Source organism: Homo sapiens, chromosome 12 (assembly GCF_000001405.40).
Source record: "Homo sapiens chromosome 12, GRCh38.p14 Primary Assembly".
Classification (NCBI taxonomy): Eukaryota; Metazoa; Chordata; class Mammalia; order Primates; family Hominidae; genus Homo; species Homo sapiens.
In genome coordinates, this window is record NC_000012.12 from 131,694,402 (window position 1) to 131,715,129 (window position 20,728).

Here is a 20,728-nt window from a genome sequence, read left to right on the forward strand (position 1 = left end):
AAGGGGGCCCGTGCACAGAGGCTGCACACGGGCTGCAAGGAGAGGCTGTACAATGGAAGCTGCACAGAGAGGCTGCACACAAAGACTTCTCACAGAAGCTGCACACAGAGGCTGCATACAGAGGCTTTACACAGAAGCTGCACACAGCTGCCTGTGCCTGGGGAAAGCCAGTGAAGCCTCCACTGTGAGGGTGAGTGGAATAGTCCCTTCCCCATGGAAGTCATTCCTACAAAGAGTGCCTGCTCCCTGCACGCAGACTGGACCATCGGAGGGGGCTGTGGGGCTTTTCCTGGTCTAAGTGCTGAGCTCTCCGTGGTCTCCTTGCCAGAGCTGGGTGCTTTAAACACAATTCTGCTGGTTCAAATCACGTTTTAAAATATTTAAAACACAGATTGCAAAGTGGTGGCCTAGCAGGAAGGTGTGTTTTCTTTGGGCTGCTATTCCAACTTTTTTTTTTTTTTTTTGAGATGGAGTCTCACTCTGTCACCCAGGCTGGAGTGCAGTGGCGTGATCTCTGCTCACTGCAAGCTCCATCTCCCAGGTTCATGCCATTCTCCTGTCTCAGCCTCCCGAGTAGCTGGGACTACAGGCGCCCGCCACCACGCCTGGCTAATTTTTTTCTATTTTTAGTAGAGACGGGGTTCCACCCTGTTAGCCAGGATGGTCTTGATCTCCTGACCTCATGATCCACCCACCTCAGCCTCCCAAAGTGCTGGGATTACAGGCGTGAGCCACCACACCCGGACTCCAACTTTTTTCTTAATGGGGGATTTCACATAAAAATCCATACTCTGAGCTTCTCATCAGGCATCCCCAGCTCGTGCTCCTGCAGGGTGCGACCGGTGCACCCACCCTGACTCTCACCACCTCCACCTCTGCAGCATCCTCACATACAGGCCTGGCCCCTGGCGGCACCTGAGCTTAACACTTCTCGTGTAGGGAAAACACTGCGCTGGGACTCTTGAAGAATCGGGCTGTCTTCACATGTAAACACTTTGAGGTTCAGAAAAGCGGAGGTTGGATGCAGAGCAGGTCAGTGAATCGGGAACTTGGTTGCCAAGACCGCCTGTTCCTTGTGGAAGGAAATCATGACGGAGTTGGGCTTGATGTCTTAGGGAAAGAAAACCCTTTCCCACTTCGTTTCTGCCTCTGACATGGAAAAGCACCTCGGGTGTGGGAAAGGATGTCCCTGAGTAACAAGGGCAGTTAGATGCCACCTTTCCAACATGGTTCTTTCATGTTTGTTCAACCCCCCCACACAGATGTAACTTGGCAACAGCAGTAAATACTGCATGGCCTCACACCAATTCTACAAGTCACCAGGGTGTCCACACACACGTAAGTGATTACACGTGTGCCTAAGTTAAATCCCCCCCTCAACAGAGACGCCGAATGCTTTTGCAATGGTGTAGGCCACAGAGCTAGCACTAAACACGTTGGCTCACTTGTCCCGTGGTCACCACTCCCTGCCCCTGGTGTCCCTCCCTGGCCCCTTCCCTGGTCCTGGTTTCCAATCTTGACACTCACCTCTTCCTCCATCCTTTCTCATTTCACTAGCCTAAAGGTGACAACGTTGGCCACGCTGATTAGCAATAGGGTCCCTGGGTGTGGCCCCCACGTGTGAAAATGCCCAATGGCAAAACAGTCTGGTCCGAACAGGCACACCTCCATGGAAAAGCGTGGCCGTATCTCCTCAAGCAGGACGTACGCCCACCCTCCAACCCATCAGTCCCACCTGTGGTATATACCAGCACAAAAACATGTGAATCGTGCACCAAAAGACATGCACATGGCCGGGCACGGCGGCTCACGCCTGTCATCCCAGCACTTTGAGAGGCCGAGGCGGGCGAATCACCTGAGGTCAGGAGTTCAAGACCAGCCTGGCCAACATGGTGAAACTCTGTTTCTACTAAAAATACAAAAATACAAAAAATACCAAAAAAAATTATCCAGGCATAGTGGCAGGCGCCTGTAATCCCAGCTACTTGGGAGGCAGAGGCAGGAGACTCGCTTGAACCCAGGAGGTGGAGGCTGAAATGAGCCAAGATCGCGCCACTGCACTCCAGCCTGGGCAGCAAGAGCAAAACTCCATCTTAAAAAAAAAAAAAAAAGACATGCACACACATGCTCACAGCAGCGCTATTTACAACTGCCCTAAAGTAAAATTACTCAAATGCCCACAGACTACTAAATAGACGATGGTACTATCATAATGGGCCATTATTCAGCAGTGAGAATGAACAAACTAGAAATAACTGTTGACCCAAAAGGAAGAAACTGAGGCAAAATTAATACAAGTAGAGAGTTTATTTGGGCCAAACGTGAGGATTGTGGCCCAAGAGCACACATTCAAGTTTCCCGAATATACACTCTGATTAGCAACCGTTACAAGTGGATTTTTAAAGGCAAAAGGAAACAAGGAGTGGGCTGATAAAAGTTATGTCAAGAATTATCTGGCCAGGCGTGGTGGCTCATGCCTGTAATCCCAACACTTTGGGAGGCCGAGGCGGGTGGATCACCTGAGCTCCGGAGTTCGAGACAAGCCTGGGCAACATGGCGAAATCCTGCCTCTACAAAAAATTAGCTGGGCCTGGTGGCGCATGCCTATAATCCCAGCTACTTGGGAGGCTGAGGCAGGAGAATTGCTTGAACCTGGGAGGTGGAGGTTGCAGTGGGCCAAGATCACACCACTGCACTCCAGCCTGGCGACAGAGCAAGACTCCATCTCAAACAAAAGGAAAAAAGAATTCTCATTAGTCTACAGAAATAACATTGATTAGTGATTGGCTGTACCTTGTTACAAGGTAGGGTATGGGTCACAGTGTCCAGTGTGGCGTTACTAGGTTAATTTACAGCTACTTGTGGCAACAGCCCACAGTTTGAAGAGACGAGTACACAGCTCGAAGCAGGGAGGAGCATGTGGCTGCCCCTCATTCTACGGTCTCTCTGGGCCTGATCATTAAAAGGACTTGCATCCCTCAGCCTAAAGTTCTTTACTTTTCTCATAACATTCCTCAGCCTAAAGTTCTTTACTTTTCTCATAACATTCCTCAGCCTAAAGTTCTTTACTTTTTTCATAATATACCATGATTTGGGAAAATCTCACAAACATAAGTAAAAGACAACAGATTTAGAAGCATGCATACTATATAATTCCATTTACATAAAATATAAAAACAGGCAAAACCAACTTACCATGATAAAAGTCAGGGTAATAGTTACCTTTAAGAAAAAAATCAGCATATCAGGTAATCAGCATATCGTGTAATCAGCATATCAGGACATATGAAAAGTCCATAACTTTTTTGTTGTTGTTTGTTTGTTTTGGAGACGGAGTCTCACTCTGTTGCCCAGGCTGGAGTGCAGTGGTGTGATTTCAGCTCACCGCAACCTCCACCTCCCAGGTTCAAGCAATTCTCCTGCCTCAGCCTCTCGAGTAGCTGGGATTATAGGCGTGCGCCACCTGGATAATTTTTTGTATTTTTAGTAGAGACAGGGTTTTGCCATGTTGCCCAGGCTGGTCTTGAACTTCTGATCTCAGGTGATCTGCCCGCCTCAGCCTCCCAAAGTGCTGGGATTATAGGTGTGAGCCACCTCTCCCAGCCGAAAGTCCATAACTCTTAAATGGGTAAAAGATTTTAATAGACACTTCGCCACAGAATATATCTGGATGGCTAATGACCATAGGGCAAGATCCTCAACATCATCAGTCATTAGAGAAATACAAACTCAAACCACAGTGAGACACACAGTCACTGGAATGGCTGTACACAAAAGGACTGCCCACACCAAGTGGTGGTGGGGATGTAACATGTAGCAGCCACCTGGAAAACAGTTTGGCAGTGCCTCAGAAGCTTCAGCATGGAGTTGCCATACACACTAATTTCCTATTGCTGCTGTAACCGTTGAAAACGACACAGCTTTACTTCCTTCCCATTCTGAAGGTCAGAAGTCCACAGTGAGTCTTCGAGGAGTTGAAACCCAGGCGCTGGCAGGACTGGTTCCGTCTAGAAGCTCTAGGGCAGGGGTGCCCAACCCCCGGGCCACAGATGGGTACCAGGCCTGTTAGGAACCAGACTGCGAAGCAGGTGAGCGGTCAGCAGGTGAAGCTTCATCTGAATTTACAGCTGCTCCCTGTCAATCACATCACCGTCTGAGCTCTGCCTCCTGTCGGATCAGCGGCATTAGATTATCACAGGAGGCCGGGCATGGTGGCTCACACCTGTAATCCCAGCACTTTGAGAGGCCAAGGCAGGTGGATCACCTGAGGTCAGGAATTCAAGACCAGCCTGGCCAACATGGTGAAACCCCATCTCTACTAAAAAGACAAAAATTAGCCGGGTGTGGTGGCACATGCCTGTAATCCCACCTACTTGGGAGGCTGAGGCAGGAGAATTGCTGGAACCCCAGAAGGTGGAGGTTGCAATGAGCCGAGATCGCACCACTGCACTCCAGCCTGGGCAACAGAGCGAGATTCCATCTCAAAAAAATTTTAAAAAAAAGATGATCACAGGAACATGAACCCTACTGTGAAGTGCGCATGAGAGGGATCTAGGTTGTGAGCTCCTTAGGAGAATCTAATGCCTGGTGATCTGTCACTGCTCCCATCACTCCCAGATAGGACCATCTAGCTGCAGGGAAACAAGCTCAGGGCTCCCACTGCATTGTGGTGAGTTGTATAATTATTTCATTATATACGACAATATAATAATAGAAATAAAGTACACAATAAATGTAATGCACTTGAATCATCCCAAAACCATCCCCACCCCCACCCATGGAAGAACAGTCTTCCACAAAACCAGTTCCTGGTGCCAAAAAGGCTGGGACCACTGGTCTAAGGGAGAGTCCATTTCTTGCCTCTTCCAGCTCCCAGAGGCCACCCCACATCACTCCAACCTCTGCTTCTATATTCACATGACTTTCTCCCGACACAGACACTCCTGCCTCCCTCTCATAAGCACCCACGCAATTATATTGGATACACATGAAGAATCCAGAATCATCTCCCCACCTCAAGACCCTCAGCCACATCTGTGAGGTCCCTTTTGAGTGAATTCAGAGTGAATGTGTGTATTCTGGTTCACTAATGAGTCTAACAAGGAAAGATGAAATGAGAATTCAAGACAGTAGAAGACAAAAACAGTCCATGATCAATTGCTGATGGATTGCACAAATAGAACACATTCCTTCTTCTTAGTCCCACAGGGCACATCCGGCTCAAATGTTTCCCTCCCGAATGTATCATCATGACTCGACAGAGATTAAATAGTTCATGAACGGTGCTGCAGAGTCAAACAGGAATATAATGCCAATTAGTGAGAGAAATGATGACTGGGGACAATGTGGTGAGGAGTGAAATAGACACAGCTGCATTTTTAAATGGCAAACTTGTGCAGTCAGTAAGGGAAGGAGTGAGAACAGAGCCTCCGGTACAACCTGGCTGAGTTAAACATCAAGGTCAATCAATTGATCTACCCAGGGTACTGTTATGAGGAGTAAAAATTGCCAGTTATACATCTGAGCCAAGCCTTGGCCCAGGTGGGAAAGAAATGCAAAGCTGTTTTCAAAAAGGCTTCATCATAACTGTTTACAAGCTTTCACTCTGAACACCGGATTTCAAAGAAACTTAGAAGAAAGGCTAGGTGAAGAAATACATTAGCTATGAAATCGCCCAGGAAAATGGGAAAACCGGAGCTCGTGCTGCTTATTTTGTCATCATGAAGCAGTAATCCCAAAAAACTTAAATACATAGGTTTTTGGGTTTACTGTGGGGCTTGACATCCATGGAGGGATGGACCCTGCAGGCCACTTGGCCATGCAGCTGTGACATGATTCCAAACACTTCGTGTGCTACATGAGTGGCACATGCTTTGCTGTGATGAGAAAATGGAGAATAAGCCCAAGCCCAGGAAGATCTTACATCACACCTTATCAGACCACGTATGTGAGTACTGGACCCCAAAACACATATACATCCGTAATTTCAACAGACACATTGACAGCTCAGGCTGTGGCTGGGCTACTCTGTCAGCCTCTGATCTGTTCTTTGAAGCCTCGTCCACAAGCAACACCACTCGCTAGTGTTGAGGGACCTGGTGCGTCGCCCCAGATCTCTGCTGTGCTGGTCAAACTGTCTCTCCCAATAACTTCTCATAGAAAGGTGCACCTCAAACTTCAGTTAGACTCTACGTCCCCAGCAGCCTGCTTCCACCCTAGAGCAACTGGACTTTAATAACTGAACCCTAGACAAAACGTACCTCATCTGTTGAGTGTATTCCCTGAGATATTTGTTCTCATGATCCTCCCCATCTTTGAGCATTGTGAAAAAAGGAGTCTCTTTGTATGGCAATTAAACCATGTTATTTGTGAAATCACACTTTGATCATGGCCTTCTTTCAACCATACAAAACACATATACATGGGTCAGCAAGATGGCTGACTAGAAGCCCCTTGTGCTCGGCCCCTCGTGGAGACAGCCAGAACAATGAACACACAACAGCACTGGAATGAAAGTAACAGAGAGAGAGCGGTGGAGTGCATCAGAGGAGTCACAGAAATGCTGGTGAGCACAGAAACTCAGGATGGCCACATCGGGAAGGAAATGCTGGGCCTCCACCACCCCATGCCCCAACTGGGACCAGCTGGGACCCACGAGAAGTTTCTCCCTGGGGTGAGGAGGAAAGCAAGAGGACCCCAGCAGCCCCCACCACCACCATGGACGCCCACAGCCCCCACCACCACCACGGACGCCCACAGCCCCCACCACCACCACGGACGCCCACAGCCCCCACCACCACCATGGACGCCCACAGCCCCCACCACCACCATGGACGCCCACAGCCCCCACCACCACCATGGACGCCCACAGCCCCCACCACCACCATGGACGCCCACAGCCCCCACCACCACCATGGACGCCCACAGCCCCCACCACCACCATGGACGCCCACAGCCCCCACCACCACCATGGACGCCCACAGCCCCCACCACCACCATGGACGCCCACAGCCCCCACCACCACCATGGACGCCCACAGCCCCCACCACCACCATGGACGCCCACAGCCCCCACCACCACCATGGACGCCCACAGCCCCCACCACCACCATGGACGCCCACAGCCCCCACCACCACCATGGACGCCCACAGCCCCCACCACCACCATGGACGCCCACAGCCCCCACCACCACCATGGACGCCCACAGCCCCCACCACCACCATGGACGCCCACAGCCCCCACCACCACCATGGACGCCCACAGCCCCCACCACCACCATGGACGCCCACAGCCCCCACCACCACCATGGACGCCCACAGCCCCCACCACCACCATGGACGCCCACAGCCCCCACCACCACCATGGACGCCCACAGCCCCCACCACCACCATGGACGCCCACAGCCCTCACCACCACCATGGACGCCCACAGCCCTCACCACCGGGGTCCCTGTAGTCCCCCCAGGCACTAAGCTCAGCAGAGGGAGCTGCCTGGAGTCTACGTGGCTGTGCTCCCCCAGAGAAGGAAGCAACACAGTGCCCACCCCCGTGGCCCACGTGGCTACTGTGCTCTGCCATCTTGGAACTGGAAGCATGGCTGGAGTGTGTCATGGTCTGGAACAATAAGGGTGGCTCCTGTGGAACCACCCCAGCCCAATGGCCCAACATCCCCAAGCAGAACTGGTGCAGCTGTTATAGCCTTCCCGGTGGGGCCAGGTGGACGTGAAGCCACTCTGCCTACCCCTCCCTCTACCCCTTTGGGCAGGAGCTGAAGCAGTGCCCTACATCCCAGGAAACAGTGCCTGGGCTGCCCAGAGCAGTCACGCACCCCAGGCCTGAGCTGAAGCAGTGCCCTATATCCCAGGAAACCGTGCCTGGGCTGCCCAGAACAGTCACACCCCTCAGGCCTGAGGTGAAACAGCACATTGCTTCCTGAGGAATCAGTGCCCTGGCCAAGCTGAACAGCTTCACATCCCAGAGCTGAGCTGAGATGGTACCCCACATTCCAGGGAAACAGCAGTGGCTGAGCGGAGACACCTACCCTACAGGCCAAACAACTTTAGTACCTGCTTCCCTGGAGCTGGACTAGCACTCTAGAGTCTCAGGGGCTGAGACAGCCCTCTACCTGGGAAGTGGAGGCATTGCTGTGTTATTCCCTACCCCTCAAGGGCCCAAATGACAACCTTATACCACCATCTGGGGTCCTTGCCATCACTGCACCTGGCCTCCCAGAGTGTGGGGTACTGCCAAGCCTCACCATCCCAGAGTCTAGTGTCACTACCACCTGGTGCCTGCCTCATCCCCCGGGACCCAAGTTGCCACTGAGCCCTACTGGCTGAGGTTACCAAATTGCAGTCATGCCCTGATCCTGAGGCCCAAACCCCCAGGACAACCCTTCTTCCCCAGAGTTGGGCCGGTGCTGTGCCCTGTCCCCGAGGGGTAGAATCACAGCTACAACCCAGACCCCCAGGCCTGAGCTGCTAGGGAGTGTCTCAGAGTCACAGATCTATGGGCAACCAACATCCAACCCTGCCGCAAAGAATGAACCTAGACCCCAAAACCCAGGTGCCATAATAGGCTTGTGAGACCCTGAGCCTAGGACCCTGGATCCATAGCTGCTGCAAGCACCTACATCTGGAACCCAGCATCACTGGAGCTGCTTATAGGCCATGTCAGACTGATATCAAGAGAGATGCCCTGACCTAAGTCCCCTATTGTGGGGAAAACAGGAATAGGAGGATCCCAAAACCTAATGTCAAAATTTATTGTATCAAAACCAAATGTCCTTTGATACCAAGGACATTAACCATCTATGCTGGCACCACTGCTACCACAAACTTCTACAGCCTAGACAACTGAGGCACCTACAGTTACTGCTGATATTCAACACAGCTGAAGAAGCTGAGTAGGGACTATATCACTGCACTTATCTGGAAACAGAGTCACCACATCCTTTTTAACCAGCACATTAAAACCAACCCAACTACATGTGAAAGTCTTTCTCTATGCAAGGCACTCTCAAAATTTGGAGGAGGTGGTTTTTCCACCAGATGCACAGACATCAATGCAAGGGCATGAGAAACATGAAAAAGCAAGGAAATATGACACAACCAAAGGGATCTAATAACTCTCTAGTAGCAGACCCAAATGAAAAGAAAATCAACAAATTGCTAGAAAAGGAATTCAAAATAATGACCTGAAGGAAACTCAACAGTATACAAGAAAATACAGATACACAATCCACCAAAATCAGGAAAACAATTCAGAATATGAACAAGAAATTCAAGAAAGTGATAGAAATCATAGAAAAAAAAACCAACTGAACAGAAATCCAGCAACTGATGAATTCAATGAATAAAATAAAAACACAATAGAGAGCTTCAACAGCAGACCTGATCAAGCAGAAGAAAGAATTTCTGAATATGAAGACAGGTCATTTGAAATTACCTAGTCAGAGGAAAAAAAAAGAAGAATGAAAAATATTTAAAAACCTGTAAGACATGGGACACTATTAAGCGCACACACACACACACACACACACACACACACACACACACACAGAGTTTGCATTATGGGTATTCCAAAGAAAAAGAGAAGAGAAAAGACATAGAAAACCTATTTAATGAAATAATAGCTGAGAAGTTCCCAAATCTGGAAATAGATATAAACATCCAGATCCAGGAAGCTTGAAGTTTCCCAATAGATTCAACCCAGAAAGGTCCTCCCCAAGGCAAATTATAGTCAAAATGTCAAAAGTTAAAGGCAGAGAGAATTCTAAAAACATCAAGAGGGTGGGCATGGTGGCTCATGCCTGTAATCCTAACACTTTGGGAGGCCAAGGCAGGTGGATCACATGAGCCCAGAAGTCCAAGACCAGCCTGGGCAACATGGTGAATCCTCATCTCTACCAAAAAACAAAAAACAAAAAACAAACAAACAAACAAACAAAATATATATATATATAGACACACACACACACACAATTAGCCAGGCGTGGTGGCATGTGCCTGTAATCCCAGCTACTCAGGAGGCTGAGGTCAGAGGATCACCTAAGCCTGGGAGGTCGAGGCTGCAGTGAGCTGAGATCGCGTCACTAAACTCCAGCCTGGGTGACAGAGTGAAACCCTGTATCAAAAGAATAAATAAATAAATAAATATATAAAAACAAAAACATCAAGAGAAAAGCATCAAGTCACATATGAGGGAATCCCCACTAGACTAACAGCAGATTTCTCTGCAGAAATCTTACAGGCTAGACCCAGAGAACAGGATGATATATTTAAAGTGCTGAAAGAAAAAAAAAAACTTGTCAACCAACAATACTATATCCAGCAAAGCTATCCTTCAGGAATGAGAGAGAAATAAAGTCTTTTGCAGGCAAGCAAAAACTGAGGAAATTCATTACCACTAGAACAGCTTTATAAGAAATGATTGAGGGAGTCCTACATCTGGAAGAGAAAAGATAATCGTCACTATCGTGAAAACATGCAAAAGTATAAAACTCACTGGTAGACCAGGTACACAAACAAGAAAGACGAAATAATAAAAACTTGGTTGGGCAGGGTGATTCATGCCTGTAGTACCAGCACTCTGGGAGGCCGAGGAAGGCAAATTGCTTGAGCCCAGTAGTTTGAGAGCAGCCTGGACAACATGGTGAAATCCCATCTCTACAAAAACAAAATTAGCCAGGTGTGGCAGTGCATGCCTGTGGCCCCAACTACCCAGGAGGCTGAGACAGGAGATTTGCTTGAGCCTGAGAAGTTGAGGCTGCAGTGAGCCATGGGCATGCCACTGTACTCAGCCTGGGCAACACAGTGAGACCCTGTCTCAAAAAAAAAGAAAAGAAAAGAATAAAAACCTGTTACTACAGAAATACACCAAACCAAAATAACAAACAATAAGCAAAGAAGAAAGGCACAAAGGATATATAAAACAACCAGAAAACAGTCAATGAAATGACAGGAATAAGTCCTTGCATATTAATAATAACCTTGAATTAAAACAGGTTAAATTCTCCCACTAAAAAGATATAGACTGGCTGAAAGGATTTTTTTTAATGACAAAACTATATGCTACCAACGAGAAATTCACTACACCCATTAAAGACACATATAGACTGAAAGTGAAGGGATAGAAAAAGATATTCCATGCAAACAAAAACCAAAAGCAAGCAGGATTAGCTGTATTTATATCAGATAAAACAGACTCTGTAAAGCAAAAATTGTAAAAAGAGAAAAGGTCATTATGTTATAATAAAAGGATCAATTCAGCAAGAGGATATAATAAATATACATGCACCCAACACCAAAGCACTCAGATACATAAATAGCAAGTATTATTAGATCTAAAGGGAGAGATGGACTCCAATACAATAACAGCTGGGGACTTCAACACCCCACTCGTGGCACTGGAGAAGTCATTTAGACAGAAAACAACAAGGAAACATTAGGTTTAAACTGTTCTTTATATCAAATGGACCTAACAGACATTTATAGAATCTTTCATCTAATAGCTGAAGATTACATTTTCTTTTCATCAGTACATGGAACATTCTCCAGCATAAAATTCTCCATCAACAAGTGAATGGATAAAGAACATGCAGTGTATATACACATAATGGAATACTATTTAGCCACAAAAAAGGAATAAAGTTCTGGGCTGGGCACGGTGGCTCATGCCTGTAATCCCAGCACTTTGGGAGGCCGAGGCATGTGGATCACCTGAGGTCAGGAGTTCAAGACCAGCCTGACCAACATGGAGAAACCCCATGTCTACCAAAAATACAAAATTAGCCAGGCATGGTGGCTCATGCCTGTAATCTCAGCTACTAGGGAGGCTGAGGCAGGAGAATTGCTTGAACCTGGGAGGCTGAGGTTGCCAGGAGGTGGAGGTTGCCATGAGCCGACATCGCATCATTGCACTACAGCCTGGGCAACAAGAGTGAAACTCCGTCTTAAAAAAAAAAAAAAGGAATAAAGTTATGTCATACCAGCAACATGGACAACCTTGGAGGTTATTAAGAGAAATAAGTCAGGCACAGAAAGATAAATACTGTATGTTCTCACTCATATGTGGAGGCTTAAAAAGTTGATCTTATAAAAGTAGAGAGTAAAATAGTGGCTAGTAGTGGCTGAGAAGTGTCAGGAGAAGGGGGCATAGCCAAAGGTTGATTAAAAAATACAAAAGTAGTCGGCCAGGCACAGTGGCTCACGCCTGTAATCCCAGCACTTTGGGAGGCCGAGGCGGGCAGATCACGAGGTCAAGAGAATGAGACCATCCTGGCCAACGTGGTGAAACCCCATCTGTACTAAAAATACATAAATATACAAAAATTAGCTGGGCATGGTGGCGCACACCTGTAGTCCCAGCTACTTGGGAGGCTGAGACAGGAGAATCGCTTGAACCTGGGAGGTAGAGGTTGCAGTGAGCCGAGATGGTGCCACTGCACTCCAGCCTGATGACAGAGCAAGACTCTGTCTCAAATAAATAAATAAATAAATAAATAAATAAATAAATAAATAAATAAAAATAAATAAAAAACAAATACAAAAGTACAGCTAGTTAGGAGGAATGAGTCTAGTGTTCCATAGCACTGCAGGGTGACTATAATTAACAATTTATAGTATGTTTCAAATAGCTAAACGAGCAGATTTTGAATGTTCTCAGCACAAATAAATGATAAATGAGGCAATAGATAAGCTAATTATCTGATTTGATCACTACACATTGTATACATGCAATGGAAATATCACACTGTACCCATAAATATGTACAATTATTATGTGTCAGTTGAAAACAATTTTACAAAACACACATTTGCATGTTTATTCTTAGGTTTTTACAGTTCTTTAATCTTATTTATTCACCTATTTTTTTGAGACAAGGTCTTGATAGGGTCTTGCTTTGTCGCCCAGACTATACTGCAGTGGCACAATCACAGCTCACTGCAGCCTTGACCTTCCACACTCAAACAATCCTAAGTTTCACCTTTTGACCTACACAGACTAATTGTATTACATTTTAATGTGAAGTCTCCACCCTGAAGTGAACTTGGGACCATGTAACATGAATGTTTGCTTACCACACAACCTAGCAAGCCCCTTTCACAAATATTCATAGCTCCTCCTATAACCTATTAAATATGTATGTTTAGCCAACCTGTTTAGCATAAAACTCCTCTCCCACCCTTCTTCCTTCAAAGTGCCTACTTTCTGTCTCAGCCAGAGGGTCTGCTTCCCAGGCTGTGGGTTGCAACTCTTCTCAGAAATAAAGTTCTCCTTTCCAAATTTAAGATCTTGTGATCTTTATTTTGACATATGAGATTTCCCTAGCCGGTTTTTAGTCCATCCCTGAAAGACTGAATGGTTAGATCTTTGATATCTTTCTCAAGTACCTCCCATTTGACCTCAGCCATCCATTTTCAAGTATCACCAGTCCCAGTATCATATGAATAAATTGGGAAAGATCAAGGAATCATGGATCATATACTCCAGGAGAATTTTTTACCTCCAAGAAAATTTCTGGGGGCTTTCCTTTGAAACCTTTCACTGTTGCTCTGAACTCAAAAGATTTCTGAACAAGGCATAACAGTGATTAAAGAAGCAGACTTATTAATCTGAGGGCCTAACTATATAAGGCATTTGTTTAGCTTTCTTTTTGTCTTTGGGGTAGGAAGGTAACTGAGATAAGAAGTTAGGAGATTCTGAGTAGGCAGAGAAGGATAGAAAGATAGAATGTACAGTGAGTTCAATACATCAAAATACAATTTTTTTTCTCATAAATTAGCTGCTTAAGTTTTTCATTTGCTTTTTGTAAGAAGTCATTTAGAAAGGCAATTTTTGGTTCATTTAACCTTTTAGAAGCCTCTGCATGTCAATCAAAATACATCCTTTTGTTTCTGAGGTGTTTTTTGTCCTTTCTTAATATTTTATTTTATTCCTTTCAGACCTAGTCCTGCAAATATCCTTTCTTTTCTAATGTCTTGCAAGTGAACAATTTTATCTAGGTTAAAACTTCCTCACTTTGACCACTGTTAACTCTTAGATTACCTTTGGTAGGTTCACCCATTTCTCTGGAAAAGTGCAGACTCTGGGTTCATAGGTTCTTATACATGAAATTGGCTGGAGTTCCAGGTGGAGGAGTTTCAGACTCCTTGGATCCAAATGAAGGCATCATTCCCTGTATTCTCATACCCTTTCCTACCATAAGCCTCCTACTGGACTCAGTCCTGCTCCCATAGGCCTTGTACTGGATCCAGTCCCAGTTTCTGTTGTAACTTCTGGACCCAGCTCAGATCAAAAATGCTCAAATAAACTTTAAGAATTTGACACAAGTTGTAGAGTTTGTATCCAAGCAGGGCCTACAAGTGGCGGCCTCCAAATGTGCAGTGAGAAGCCCTGAGCACAAATGGCTCAGTGTGTGAAGCAGGCCCACGGGCACTGGTTACCAACCTGTTCTGAATTCTCATAAGCAACAATTTACATGTAGTGCATTTATTACCTATAGACAGGTGGTAGGAGACGAAGACTAGGACTCACTGTGAGCCAATCCCCCCAAAGCTCAGAAAGTTGCCCAGGTGGATGAAATCTCTACTGCGTATTCCTCACTTACACCACAGATAAGAGATCCCGAAGAGCAGCCCACCCAGATTACATACCACATGTCACATGAATCACTGGGCTAAAGTGTTGAAGGACCTTCTATTTCTAGGGGAGAACTGGAACAGAGCCTGGGCTACTTCAGCCAGTCCCTCCCTATCTCAGGATGTTGCATCCCAGCTCGTTATGCAGTTACTCTTGAAAACTACAAAGGAAAAGGAGGGAGAAGTGGGTAGGCCCAAGGCTATACAGAGAACTGTCCTGCACAATGAAGCACCTGCATCTGTTTAGTCACTGTTCCCAGAGGTCATCATTGAGGGAATAGGGGGGCCTTCAGATCCCATTTCTGACACCAGAACTGTTAAAAGAGAAACTTTACACAAAACAAATTCGAGTTTATTCGAGCAAGAAAACAATTCATGAATCAGGCAGCATGCAGAAGCAGAAGAGGTTCAGAGAGTTCCACTCAGCAGCATGAGCAGCAAGCTTTTATAGACCCAACACGGAAGCAGAAAAATTACTTGATTGGGTTTTGGTTTGCTTGCATAGGAGCTGGTGTTACAGAGTTGATCTCAAGCTAATGGCCTCCTTATTTGCTTTAGCACCCCACACCTGAACCCAAGGGAAAGCTTGAAGGGAGCCCAGCACCGAAACAAACTAGTAAATGCCTGGGGGCAAACAACAGTGTTTTTATCAAGTAACCATGACACATACATCTTCCTCAGCAGTGGCAGAGCAGTCTTGTAGAGTTAGATAGGAAGATGATGGCCTGGCCACGCATGCTCAGCTGCTGGCCCGGCTCATTCTACAGGTATTAACCAGTATTTGGCCCACAGTGTGCTAAGCACCATTCTAGGTGCTGAGGATGCTAAGGTGACCCCAACAATGTCCCTGATCTCTTAAAGCTAATTCTGGTGGGATGCTGAACACAGGATGTAACCTAAGGTGGTGATGAGAGGTACACAGACAAATCGGAAGGCACAAGTTAGCCACCAGTGAGGGGAAACTCCAGACAACGTAGACACATAAGGCCAGGTGGAGAAATGGATGACTGAGTTAAACTTGGGTAAGGAGCCTGGCAAATGAAGACAGAAGCATGACCCAGTCAGGGGAAACCACAACAAAAGACGTTTGGTGGGAACTGCCTGTTTCTTAATTTCCAAAAATCAGTTAAAGGTTCATATACATTATCTCATTTCAACATCACTGGTAGAAAGATTCCATTTTTATGGAGAGGGGATCTGAGGCCCAGAAAGGAGACGATCTGTCATCGTTTTCCACTCAAGGGCAAACATGGGGATATCCCATCCCATCCCAAAGCCTAAGATTTTGCACTCCAGGCCCTTTGTCTGACCTGAAATTACTGAGCTAAAAGGGACCGAAAGATCCTAATGGAACCACCGATGGGAAAACTGCGGCCCAGGAGGAAACACACCAAGCAAAATTGCACCGTATCCAGGTGGCCAGTCTCCAGACTGGGGTCTCCCTGCCCCGCCAGACCATCTCCCGGCGACAAGGGTCTCAGGTTTCCGAAATCTCGCCACCCGCGAGTGATTTGCAGCGCAGGGGCCTCTGCTGCCTCGGAAACCTTCAAAGGTGGGCGGGTCGGGGACCAAGTCCCCCTAGGGATGGAGAAGGAAACGGGGCCAAGGAAAAGGACATCGCCACCCTGGGCAGAGCACGCACGGCCCCAGCGACTCGGACATGGTGAGGGGCGCGGAGGCTCGGGGTGGACCCGAGGCCTCCACACATGTGGCAGGCTGCAGCAACCCGCCACCCACGAGGACTCGCCCAAGGCCCAGAGCGCGCCGGGCCCCTCCCTCCGACTCCGTCGCCGCCCGACTGGCCGCAGCGGAAGCCGGCGCGCGATCCCACGCTGCGCTTTCGCCACGTCCTGACGGCTGCCCGATAAAACGGACATTAAAATTGCACTTTCCACTGAATACAGCAGCGCCTATTGTGGCGGCACACCTGAATGCGAAAATTAAAGCCAAAATATTTCCTAGCGGCTAAAAGAGCTCCAAGCCTAGGCGAATCTGCCGGTCCGCTCGCCGGAAATGCGGGCTCTCCTGCCGGAAGCTGCCCCTCCACCATTTTGTGGCCCGCTATGGCGGCGGTGTTGAGGTTGGGTACGGGATGCGGGGTCTTTGACTGAAGGGGTAGGCCAAGTGGAGGTATCAGGGACGTCGCGCGGCACAGAAGAGGACCAGCCTGGACGCCGGGGACGCTGTCATGTACGGCGCGAGCGGGGGCCGCGCCAAACCCGAGAGGAAAAGCGGCGCGAAGGAGGAGGCCGGGCCAGGCGGTGCCGGCGGTGGGGGCAGCCGAGTGGAGCTCTTGGTTTTCGGCTATGCCTGCAAGCTGTTCCGGGACGACGAGCGGGCCCTGGCTCAGGAACAGGGACAGCACCTCATCCCCTGGATGGGGGACCACAAGATCCTCATCGACAGGTCGGTTCCTCTCCCCACCCGTCGATCCTTCCCTTCCCTCACCCGCTTGATCTCGTCTGATGTTGACTTGACTGCAAGGACTGCAGAGAGTTTTCTGGAGCCAGCGGGGATCTGGGGGACACCCCCTCCCCTGTCCCCACCTCCTCCTGGTGTTCTGGTGGGGAGGGGGACGGTGAAACCTGCCCTAAGGCACTGGCTGGAATTGCGTGCCGCGTCCGTCTCCGGAGGGATCGTCTCTGGTCCCGCAGCCCCTCTCGACCCCTCACCCTGTCGCTGGGCTGCAGTTGGCGATTCCGCGCGGTGAAAGCAGCCAGTGCCCAGGGTCTTTTCCTGAGTGCACCTGGGCCTGCCGCCCGGCGATGCCATGGGGTCGTGCGCTGCTTTTCTACTTGCCGCGCTCTCACTGCTCGGTGTACTGGGAGGGTACCCTGGGAGGCGTGCCTTTATTCTTCCGAACCGCCGCTCACTGAGACAGTGGCTAGAAGTGTCTCTTGGACCTGTGAGTTAGCCTTAACCTGTTATGCCCCCAGAGCCCTCAGTGGAGCGCCCGTACTTTGCCGGCATGACGTTTGATTTCCCGGTGATAATCCGACGAGTTTGACAGATTGAGGTAGTGAGCAAAGTTGCCCGTCAGTTGGTGGCCACTTGACTTCGTGCGGACCCTGGCCTTGCTCTTGGAAGAGATAGTGTTCTTAGGGCTGGTTTCACTGTCTCTTAAGACTGAAGGGTGGAGCTGGGATATAGATGTGTTGTTTCTTTTCAAATCAAACCTGCTTTAGGTCGTCACTCGAGGGTGTCTAGCGATTATGGGCAGTGGGGGCCTGGGATTAGGGATTTCTAAAGGCGTTTGATTTGAAAAGGATAACATTACATGATGTAGGTGGTTTGCTCCCCTCTTTCTTCCCATTTTTTCAATCCCCCTTCCCCTCGTCTCTGGGTTTTGGGGTTGTTGTGGGGTGGTTTTTTTTCTTTTTTGCCTGTTCGGCTACTTCTGGGGCCCGGACTGAAAAGCTAACCATGACCAACCATTAAACTGTGGAATAGTCTCTCCACGTGAAGAAAGCCCATCGTTTGAGACCATTAAAACTGGATTCTTCATAGCCCTGGAGCATGACTGTAGGGATGACCTCTGAGCTGGCCAGAATGGACACATTAATGACCAAATAGGCCTTTTTCCATCCCTGACGTTTCCTTTTGGAATTAGAGCTCGAAAACGAGAACTGGTGAAGGGAGGGCCGCGGAATCAGATCATGTCTGGATCTGATGGCTCCGTGCTGTGCTCAAGCGTGCTGTGCCTTCACACCATGGTTTATATTGAATGTGTCGCCTGAGTTGTCAGGCTTGCTTTTCCAAAGTGTCACTTGTGTTATTTATCATTAAAGTTTGGTAAGCAATGAAGTCTGAGCTCTTTGTACAGTTTTCCTATCATTCTGTACATGATTTGAGTTAGGTCTTCCAAAACTGGTGGGGAGCAAACGCCGCACATGTACATGTATAATATTTTTAATAATAATCTACATTTGTAAGTTAAGGAGGTTTACATCAAAATCCAATTAATTTTGAAATTTAATGAAATGCAGTAACTTGACTACCTTGGAATTTTGGGCCTTTTTCCTGTAAATGTCTTTTTTGGTCTACATTAATATTTTTGGTTCCCATTACAAAAGTCAGCATTAAAAAAATAAGCAGACTTTTGTTTGTTTCTCTACATTTGTTTTTGAAACCCTAAACCTGAGTGTTTTAAGTAAAGTTCACTAACTCATTCATTTATTATCTGACAGTTACACGTTGACAGCATCCTCATTGAATCCTTTATGTTAAAAGCATAGCAGAAAGTGCTCCCATTACTTATTTGGCCAAACTACTGTTTGGTCCATGCAAGAGAAACATGGAAGTGTCTTCATGTATGTTATTTCCTTGAGGGTATAAAGTTCAGAAGGAAATATTGATACCATATCTTCTAATAGTTTTGCTCTGTTCCCAGTGAACCTCCTTAAACTGCATGTATATGTCACTGTTCCAATGTATGTGTGTCTCTCTATCACGTAACCCAGCACTTATTTCCTCAGCCAAGTGGCTAGGGGGCGAGCCTAGCCAAGATTTTACCTCCAATGGACGCAAGTTTCTTTGGTGAAGATCTCTCCTGAGAGTTCGGGACTAGCAGAAAGAAGCGAGGAAATTTCGACCGTTTGGTTCTTACGGATAGGTATTTATGTATTTGGTTTGTGTGAATGTAAGCTATGATATTTAACTTTTCAGAAAAAAATAATAATTTTTTGCAAGTGGCATTGAATGGTTGACCAAACCATAATGGTAAGAACTGCCAGTGAAGTGGGTACCATTTTTGCTATTAATGGATTGTTTGCCTTTAGTTATAAATGTTATCTTACTGTGGAAAGGAATTTAGAGTTTGTTAAGATAACTTGAGTTTAAAAGTAGGTGAGATATGACTATCCAAATTAAATATAAATCTGGGAAGAGTTTTTATACTTGTTTTAATATTTTTGTTTATTTTAATCGGTAAGTATGTGTGTGTATATATATATACATATATAAAACATCACACACGCACACCAGTCTAGACGTTAATTTCCTTTTATTGACCAGCTTGTTCACATTACAGATATGATGGACGTGGTCACCTGCATGACCTTTCTGAGTACGATGCTGAGTATTCCACGTGGAACAGAGATTATCAGCTGTCTGAAGAGGAGGCGCGAATAGAGGCCCTGTGTGATGAAGAGAGGTATTTAGCCTTGCATACGGACTTGCTTGAGGAGGAGGCAAGGCAAGGTACTGCTCAAGACAAACTTACTTCAGCAACAAACTTTTTAAAATTTTTAAGTATTTAAAAATTTACTCCCATTCATTTTTTTATACTCACTCTTTCTGATATTATCTTGACAGTACCCAGTGGATTGGAAAAACAGGAGTCTTTGCGTTCTGAGAGGACCTCAGGATAGTTTATATATAGAGCCACAAAGAATTTTCCCAGCTTTTGAGGGCAGACTGGGATTTGAAAAAAACAAAAACCAAACTCTTTAACTGTTCTTCTTTAACAGTATCGTATAAATAAAATTGATGTTCTTGTCTTTGCCGTAACAGTCTTTAATACAGTTCTTAATCCCAAAATTTTCTCAGCAGGAAGAAATTTTCCACAAAAGACGTGTATTCAGCTGTCTGTGGGTAAACATGTACTGACAAAAGTACATAATGATAGATATAAAGTGTGAATTTTTAAAACTATTTTACCTCAAAAGTAGGTTGAAAAAAGTATGTTGTATGCTTTACTGATAGCTACAACTTTAGAAATATATAAAGTTTTTCTCAGTAATTTTCTATTTTTGTTGATAAAATTCTCATTTTTATTCAAGAGGAAGAATACAAGCGATTGAGTGAAGCACTAGCAGAGGATGGGAGCTACAATGCCGTGGGGTTCACTTACGGTAGCGACTATTACGACCCGTCAGAGCCGACGGAGGAGGAGGAGCCTTCCAAACAGAGAGGTGAGTGGGGAGCTGCCTGGACTGCTGGTGTAGGGCTACACGTGTACGCACAGGCTGCATGCACCGTGGTCCAGTCTGCAGAACACATCTCTGGCACTCATGATAGCACCACTATGACCACAGGAGAAAACGGGAGTGATATTCCTTCTTTTGGTAAAACGAAGTTAAAAACTAGA

General features: G+C 46.9%; 1 protein-coding gene across 8 annotated transcripts in view, besides 3 other annotated features; it reads left to right on the plus strand.

Annotated features, from left to right (window-relative positions):
- Positions 16,244-16,333: an enhancer, noted in NCBI's record as "active region_7367". NCBI's record gives its function as "activates an Ori minimal core promoter by ATAC-STARR-seq in GM12878 lymphoblastoid cells {active_cell/tissue: GM12878}" and the evidence as "EXISTENCE:reporter gene assay evidence [ECO:0000049][PMID:35858748]".
- Positions 16,474-16,763: an enhancer, noted in NCBI's record as "active region_7368". NCBI's record gives its function as "activates an Ori minimal core promoter by ATAC-STARR-seq in GM12878 lymphoblastoid cells {active_cell/tissue: GM12878}" and the evidence as "EXISTENCE:reporter gene assay evidence [ECO:0000049][PMID:35858748]".
- The window catches only part of SFSWAP (splicing factor SWAP), an 88,649-nt gene continuing 84,609 nt past the window's right edge, over positions 16,689-20,728 (plus strand). For 5 of the 8 annotated variants that reach the window (NM_001261411.2, NM_004592.4, XM_011538653.1 and 2 more), the window contains exons 1-3: positions 16,689-17,046; positions 19,670-19,839; positions 20,421-20,552. In NM_001261411.2, the coding sequence (NP_001248340.1) occupies positions 16,829-17,046; positions 19,670-19,839; positions 20,421-20,552 (520 nt within the window). In that variant the 5' untranslated portion in view covers positions 16,689-16,828. Of the gene's footprint in view, positions 19,840-20,420; positions 20,553-20,728 lie in introns of all 8 variants that reach the window. The other 3 variants (XM_024449125.1, XM_047429327.1, XM_047429328.1) reach the window with 1 other exon arrangement.
- Positions 16,854-16,923: an enhancer, noted in NCBI's record as "active region_7369". NCBI's record gives its function as "activates an Ori minimal core promoter by ATAC-STARR-seq in GM12878 lymphoblastoid cells {active_cell/tissue: GM12878}" and the evidence as "EXISTENCE:reporter gene assay evidence [ECO:0000049][PMID:35858748]".